Source organism: Homo sapiens, chromosome 15, assembly GCF_000001405.40.
Source record: "Homo sapiens chromosome 15, GRCh38.p14 Primary Assembly".
NCBI classification, from domain to species: Eukaryota; Metazoa; Chordata; class Mammalia; order Primates; family Hominidae; genus Homo; species Homo sapiens.
The window spans coordinates 55,094,270-55,103,199 of NC_000015.10; positions in this window are offsets into that span (position 1 = coordinate 55,094,270).

An 8,930-nucleotide genomic window follows, 5' to 3' on the forward strand; every position below is an offset into this window, starting at 1 on the left:
CTTCCAGATATTCCTTTGTTCATAAAATTGGCTTAAGCATTTGTGAAGGCTTGAGGCGTCATTTGCCTCTTGCCAGTATCAAATGAGGTATTGGATTGTGTCCGAACAATCTGCAGTTTCTATAAATACTTGATAAGATCTACTTTCTCTATTTAAAATAGAAAATCATTTGGACTCTGCTAGAAGAGAAAATGTTCTTTTTATTCAAGTAAGAAACAAGTATCTTCCCTGCTTATTCAGTTTTCTACATTCTACTACTTTTAACATTAAAATGAACTCATATCATGCATAAGGACCCTGTGGATTCCAACGTCATCTTTTACAAATAAAGACACAGATCTGCAGAGCTTAAATGACTTGTAGGGGTCACATAGTGACCTAGATCCAAAGTTTTTGACCCTCAGTAAAAATATAAAAATTTCTACACAATATTGCTCTATCACTTACTTACTGTGTGATCTTGGACAAGCTGCTTAACCTCTCCAAGCCTTGGAGGTAATAATACTATGGCAGCTGCCTCACATATCCAGCATCACAACCCCTCAACCCACTTCCGATTTCAGATGCAGCTGTGATGAACACTTCTGTGAGAGTTCACTCTGTGGAAGTTCACTTCTGTGGGAGTTCAAGGTCACCTTATGCTAACAGCTCTCCACCTCAAGCATTCACTGCCTGTCCCTTCCATCCATTCCCCCTCCCTCTTCATCTTCTTCATCTGAAGGGAAAAGGAGGGGCTCTCAGAAGTCAAGCAAGAGCTGGTCACTTACCTCCTTGAGGTTTATTATAAAATGAAGAAATTCTAAAGCAAGTTACAAAAATGATCATACATAAAGAGTTTATATTAAACAAATTAGTGACAAAAATGCAGTTCATAACATATTTACAGAATTTATTTTTTAAGGTCATTTCATAGTATACAATACAAAGTGTGGTCCTGGGGATAAACAACTCATTTCAATTCTGTCCAAGGGTAACTAAGTGAATAATTTATTTGAAAATAACATCAGAGGTCTAAATGTGAAGCCCTTTGGGCATGTGAGGTTGAGGCTGCAAATTCCACCTCACTCAAAGATCTGAGACCAGGGTTCTGTTAAGGAACATTGAAACTGGAATGACTCCAACGTCTGTAGACTAGTGGATGATAATTTTTGGAACATCATACAATAGAATACTACTCACCAATAAAAAGAATTCACTACTGATAAATTCAAAAACTTAGATGAATATTCAGAGCATTATGGTAGAGAAAGAATCCCAACACACACAAAAAGGCATGCTCTATGATTCCATTTATTTAAAATTCTTAAAAAAAGCAAAACTTTGGGGACATAAAGGAATACCTGTGGTGGGTAATTTATAAAGGCATTCCTTTATAGCAACACAAATGGACTAAGCCACTACTGTATCAAAAAGTTTTCTCTTGCCGCCTTGCAGTCAAGCCTCTCCCAGTCCCTGTCAACAACGGATCTGATTTATGGAGGTTGATTTGGCTCACGTTTCTGCAGGCTGTAGAGGAAGAATGGCACCAGCATCTGCTTCTGCTCAGAACCTCAGGTTGCTTCCACTCATGGTGGAAGGCAAAGGGGAACTGGCATGTGAGGATCACATGATGAAAGAGAAAGCAAAAGAGAGGAGAGGTGCCAGACTCTTTTTAACAACCAGCTCTTGCAGGAACTAACAGAGCAAGAACTTATTACCTCGAGGATGGCACCAAGGCATTCTTGAGGGATCCACTCCAATAACCCCAACACCTCCCATTAAGCCCCACCTCCAACATTGGGGATCAAATTTCAACGTGCACTTTGGGGGACAAACATCCAAACTACAGCAAGTGGAAACGTTCTGTAAATTGATCATGGTGATTATTACATGACAATATAAATTTGTTAAAACTCATTGAAATGTACATTAGACATAGTAATACGTGTTGCATGTACATTATACCTCAATAATCCTAAAATGAAAGTGAACCTGCAGTTCCTATTTCTCCACATCCTCTCCAGCACCTGTTGTTTCCTGACTTTTTAATGATCGCCATTCTAACTGGTGTGAGATGATATCTCATTGTGGTTTTGATTTGCATTTCTCTGATGGCCAGTGATGATGAGCATTTTTTCATGTGTCTGTTGGCTGCATAAATGTCTTCTTTTGAGAAGTGTCTGTTCATATCCTTCGTCCACTTTTTGATGGGGTTGTTTGTTTGTTTCTTGTAAACTTGTCTGAGTTCTTTGTAGATTCTGGATATTAGCTCTTTGTCAGATGAGTAGATTGCAAAAATTTTCTCCCATTCTGTAGGTTGCCTGTTCACTCTGATGGTAGTTTCTTTTGCTGTGCAGAAGCTCTTTAGTTTAATTAGATCCTATTTGCCAATTTTGGCTTTTGTTGCCATTGCTTTTGATGTTTTAGACATGAAGTCCTTGCCCATGCCTATGTCCTGAATGGTTTTGCCTAGGTTTTCTTCTAGGGTTTTTATGGTTTTAGGTCTAACATTTAAGTCTTTAATCCATCTTGAATTAATTTTTGTATAAGGTGTAAGGAAGGGATCCAGTTTCAGCTTTCTACATATGGCTAGCCAGTTTTCCCAGCACAATTTATTAAATAGGGAATCCTTTCCCCATTTCTTGTTTTTGTCAGGTTTGTCAAAGATCAGATAGCTGTAGATGGGTGATATTATTTCTGAGGGTTCTGTTCTGTTCCATTGGTCTATATCTCTTTTGGTACCAGTACCATGCTGTTTTGGTTACTGTAGCCTTGTAGTGTAGTTTGAAGTCAGGTGGCATGATGCCTCCAGCTTAGTTCTTTTGGCTTAGGATTGACTTGGCAATGCGGGCTCTTTTTTGGTTCCATATGAACTTTAAAGTAGTTTTTTCCAATTCTGTGAAGAAAGTCATTGGTAGCTTGATGGGGATGGCATTGAATCTATAAATTACCTTGGGCAGTGTGGCCATTTTCACGATATTGATTTTTCCTATCCATGAGCATGGAATGTTCTTCCATTTGTTTGTGTCCTCTTTTATTTCGTTGAGCAGTGGTTTGTAGTTCTCCTTGAAGAGGTCCATCACATCCCTTGTAAGTTGGATTCCTAGGTATTTTATTCTCTTTGAAGCAATTGTGAATGGGAGTTCACTCATGATTTGGCTCTCTGTTTGTCTTTTATTGGTGTATAAGAATGGTTGTGATTTTTGCACATTGATTTTGCATCCTGAGACTTTGCTGAAGTTGCTAGTGGGACTGTAAACTAGTTCAACCATTGTGGAAGTCAGTGTGGCGATTCCTCAGGGATCTAGAGCTAGAAATAGCATTTGACCCAGCCATCCCATTGCTGGGTATATACCCAAAGGATTATAAATCATGCTGCTATAAAGACACATGCACACATATGTTTATTGTGGCACTACTCACAATAGCAAAGACTTGGAACCAACCCAAATGTCCAACAATGATAGACTGGATTAAGAAAATGTGGCACATATACACCATGGAATACTATGCAGCCATAAAAAAGGATGAGTTCATGTCCTTTGTAGGGACATGGATGAAATTGGAAACCATCATTCTCAGCAAACTATCACAAGGACAAAAAACCAAACACCACATTTTCTCACTCATAGGTGGGAATTGAACAATGAGAACACTTGGACACAGGAAGGGGGAACATCACACACCGGGGCCTGTTGTGGGGTGCGGGGAGGAGGGAGGGATAGCATTAGGAGATATACCTAATGTAAATAATGAGTTAATGGGTGCAGCACACCAACATGGCACAAGTATACACGTGTAACAAACCTGCACATTGTGCACATGTACCCTAGAACTTAAAGTATAATAAATATATATATATAAAGAAAGTGAACCTGCAGTAAATAAGCATACAAATTATACTCAAAAATGTATTAACATAAATTTATGTTTTCTCATAAAAGGAAACAGAAATGTCCCTACAGAAAACTTTGCACCTTGCCCGTCTTCTAATGTGCCCTCCACTTCTGCTTTTCTCTATATTATGAGGAGCAAAAATATATAATTTTCACATAAATCAAGAAGGAAAAGTGATGGACAGAAAGAGTCGAACATATGTGTCCACAAGTGAATCAAATTTAGTGCCTTTCTAAGATGTTTTTCTCCAAAATTCTTTCCTATCTTAACCACAACAACAAAAGTTGCAACATTGTTTTCTTGCTGTTTTTTTCAGAAATCTGGGTTCTGGAATACTATTGTAGTTTATACAATTCTAAGAAAGAAGTTCTAGAATTATATGCCAGTGCATTTCAACAATAACAAAATAGTTCTAGCGGCTGAAACCTAGAGAAGTGGGAGAACCGAGAAAGGTTTCAGATACCGTATTTATTCAGACTCAAGAATGCACAGTTGAGACCAGGCGCAGTGGCTCATGCCTGTAATCCCAGCACTTTGAGAAGCCAAAGACAGCAGATCACCTGAGGTAAGAGTTCAAGACCAGCCTGACCAACATGGCGAAACCCTGTCTCTACTAAAAATACAAAAATTAGCTGGGCATGGAGGCACGCACCTGAAATCCCAGCTATTCGTGGGGCTGAGGCAGGAGAATTGCTTGAACCCGGGAGGCGGAGATTGCAGTGAGCCGAGATCGCGCCACTGCACTCCAGCCTGGTGACAGAGCAAGGTTCCGTCTCAAAAAAAAAAAAAAAGAATACACAGTTGAAGACAGGAAAATGAGACAAGCGTTTCAGAGTGACAAACAAGAAACGAGAGAGTTTAGAATCCCCAGTCTGTGACCTCTTAAATATTTAATTAATATAGACAGAGAGAGAGAGAGAGAGAGAGAGAGAGAGAGAGGAGGGGACTGAAAAAGAGAGAAGTGAGACCAGGCAGCTAAATCATCCTTACCTGATTTTCAAATGCAATTCATAAGTAATATAGGCCTATAATTACCTTTCCTTGTGCCATCTTTATCTAGCTTTTAATGTGTGCACGTGAACATAGAAAGTGGAAAAATAGACACGGGAGACTCAGAAACGTGGCGGGGAGGGGAGCAGGGGTGAGGGATGAGAAATTACCTGACTGGTACAATGTACACTATTCAGGTGATGGTTACACTAAATGCCCAGATTTCACCACTATGTAATGTAAGAATGTAACAAAACTGTACTTGTACCCCCTAAGTCCATTAGAAAAAAGAAATTGAATGAGTTGGGAAGTTTACCCTCCTTGTTTCTAAAACCTATATATAAAACAGTAATTTTCTTTCCTTGAAAATTTGTTAGAACTCTCGCATAAAGCCTCCTTTGTCTAGGATTTTTGGGGACTTGGGATGGGGATGAGAGTCTTTGATTACCATTTCAAAAACAAATGTTCTCTTTCTTCTTGTACTAATTTTGTGAATTTTATATTTTTCAAGAAACCTAGAACATCTAAATTTTAAAAAATATTTATTAATAGTCATTTTTAAATTATTTTGTGAAAGAAGATTCTAGGTTACAGCCCTCCAGAGAACTTCAGAAGCCCTCTGATATCACAGTCTATGCCCTTCTTGGCACCAATCTTGCTCAAGTCCTGATTCTCTCCATTCTAGTACCTAACCTTCAAGACAGAGAAGGTGTTCTTGGCTAGTAAGCATTGAAATCAAAGAGCGTTGTAAAAAGCAATTATCTCCCTGCTCAGTCTTATGTAAGTTTTCCTTCTGTTGATAGATCGTCGGGGTTTTCCACAGCTTGAAAAGCAGAGAAATTGAGTAGGACATTCAAAGGTAGCAAATGTGCACTCAGGATTATGGAAAGAAATAATAGCATAGAACACCTTCATTTCCAGGGTCCCCATAGCAAAGACCCACTTCTGTGAAAGACCCTCCTGAGATACAGGCAAATAAGATAATTCTTGACTAAAGACAGTTTTAATCCCATCTATTAAAAGGAAGAGCCACTTAGTGCTGCACTCCAAATGTTCCCTTCCCCTTCATGTTCAACTCTGGAGTTTCAGCTTTCATCCTCACTTCTAAAGTTCTGGTTCTCCAACATCCTAATGAAAATGTATAATAGTTTTAAAAATATACGTAATCCAGATATCAGCTGGCATTGACCTATTTCTTAGTATCTAGATAAAGATAGATTAAAATGTTCACATTATGGATGGTAAAAAAAAAAAAATACAATCTTAAGCAGCATCCTAAGCATTTCTGCCCATTTCTGGGGCAGGGGTGGGGTGAGGTGGGGGCTCTCGGATGGCTGCTTCTACCTCTGCCTCTGCTGAGTGAGTAGTGGAGACCAGGGATCCACTCACCATCTACTCCCAACTAATTCAACCCTGCTCTGCCCTGGGCTGTACTTTTCTTTAATTTCTACCCAACACACCCTCCAATCAAGGCATTTGAAGTGAATAGAAAATATTATTGAAGGTTTTAGAAAAATCTACATTGTACAACATAAATGTAAAAATCAATAATAAATATTTGTATTGCTAAAGGTCCCTTGGCCATTTCTTCTTTGATGTGGGTACCAGCCTCCCTTCATGTTGTTGCTTCTCTGCTCTTCTTTCTGCTTCCATTTTGCTTCCCCCTCCACCTTCAGCCCCATTTAAATTCCTGTTCGTTCCCAGGGCATACTACATCATTAAAACGAGTTTGCTTTGGCTCCTGCAAACCCCACATACCACCTTATGATCTCACCTTTGCTTCAAGTAGCTTATCCAGGTATTTTTGCTCTTCTAAATATATCTGTAGCTATATTTCAAGACATCACCATTGGATCAACTTTAAGATTTGGGTACATCTGCTCTGTGAAATTAAGTGATACCTTTTTTCTTTCCTTTTTTTCATCCTTTTCCCCATCCCATACTCCTTCCATTTTTACCTCTCCTTTTAGTGTCCTATGTCACCTCCTTGCCATCATCCCATTTAAAAGAGAAAAGTATTAAATGTTTCATTTTCGTAGTGACTTGTTTGCACCATCTCTAGCTAACAGCCAAATGTGAGCTAATGCTATGATGTTTCCTTTTTCTCTGGGGTATTTGCATTCTAGTAAAAGAGCTAGAATGTTGCCAAGCCAACCAAAGCGAGTAAATATGGGGACATCCCGAAATTGAGCATTGGGCACAGTTACCTAAAAATAAGAGCACTCCCATTGGCCAACATTGGGTAAGACCAACAGGTTAGTCTTCCTCTAAACAAGAGATGTGATTTAGAGGAGTCCAAAACTAAGGAAAAAGTAGACAGATGTTGTGACCTGTCTCCATATCTATTAGAATCTCAGCATCTTAACCAAAGGGCACCTAGATTATGGTGTGCAGCCCAATTACTCATAACCAAGGGGCCTGTTCACTCTGCAGAAGAGGGCCTGGGGGAAAAGTCTTTGCTATGAGGTGTCAGAGTGTGTATTACCCCCAGTAAGGGGAGCTTGCTCTTCCCAGGTCTCTGCCCCCAGCAGAGTCATCTTTCCTTCCCCTGAACTCACCCAGGGGTGCTTCATCTACACCTCCCTCATGCTCTTACCCTCCTTCTACCTTGTCACATTGCCTTTGCACCTTTGCTCCCTGTTAGAAGTGAGTTTCCTGAGGGCCTTGGTACTTGCTCTCCTCTCAGATAAATGTGTGTCTGCTCAAATGACATCTCAGAAAGGCCTTTCCTAACCAGCCTATGTAAAAACAATACATTCTCTATCCCTATCATCTGTCTTCCCATTTCCTGTTTTATTTATATTTATGTTCTTACCACTAATTGCCATATGATCTACTTATTTGTTTGGGCTTTCTTCTTGTCTGTCTCCCAAATGCACTCCCTGGAATACAAATCCCTGAGAAAAGAGACTTTATTGTGTACCCTGCTCTGTTTCAAGCTTGCAAAATAGAGCCTGATACACAGTAGGTACTGAATATTCATTAAATGGATGAACAAATCAATCATATTTATTCATCCATCTATGTATCCCCCACAATACTTAATTCAGGGCTTAGCATTTCTTGAGAACCTAGTAATTGTTGAAGGGAGGAAAGGGGAAAAGGTGGTAGTGAATAAAAAGGGAGAGAAAGATGGGTGAGAAGGAAGGGAGAGGGAAGGAGAGAGGAAGGAGGGAAGACAGAAGGACTAAATGGCTGAATAAGTGAATAAATGAATAGTTTCTACATAAGCAACATGTCACCTTGGGAAATTATGAGAAAGAATGCAAGTGTCATTAAAAACAACTGGTGCAAGAAAGAAGAGGCCCAGATAGTTGCTCATTTCCTCGGTAGAGTGATTTACTGCTGAGAGTCAAGATGCAAGGAAAATTACTGTAGGAAAACTCCATCCTACAGTCTGGCCAAGTGAAATATTAGACAATGTTAGGCATTAGCACTGCTTGGCCAAGAGCCACGGAACTAATTGTTACTGGTTGTTTGAGCCTCTTAAGATTATACCATTAAAACCTTGCATTTTTAATAAAATGAATACAAGTCTAAGAGCCCCATAATTAGAGATGGTCTAGCAAATTAAGAAAATTACCTTTTTAGAAAAGAATAAATGAAGAAATTGAACCAGTCCAGGAAACTATTCAACTGCCCCTGTATAGGATCAATTCATATTTTCTCTCTGCCTTTTAAAATATCTTTTGGCCATAAAGCCATTCCTCTTCAGCCCCATGTAAGTCTTATCAGCCAAGCCATGCTGATTAGCCTTCATGTTCCAGCTGTTCTACCATTAGGTCCATGTGAAGATGCTGATGAACAACAGAAAGACACTGAAGGTATCCATGAGATAGTAAACCACAGTGCCTAAGAGTTCGGGATCTGCAATCAGATCCCTGGATTCATACCCTGGATCTGTCTTTTAAATGCTGTGTGACTTTGGGCAAGCTATTTGATCTCTTAAGTCTCAGTTTTTAACAGTAAAGTGTGGATAATAACATCTAGGTCATAGGGTTGTAATCAATATAGTATATTCAAGTACTTAATATAGCTCCTAGCAAATAATGTGTCCAGTGAAT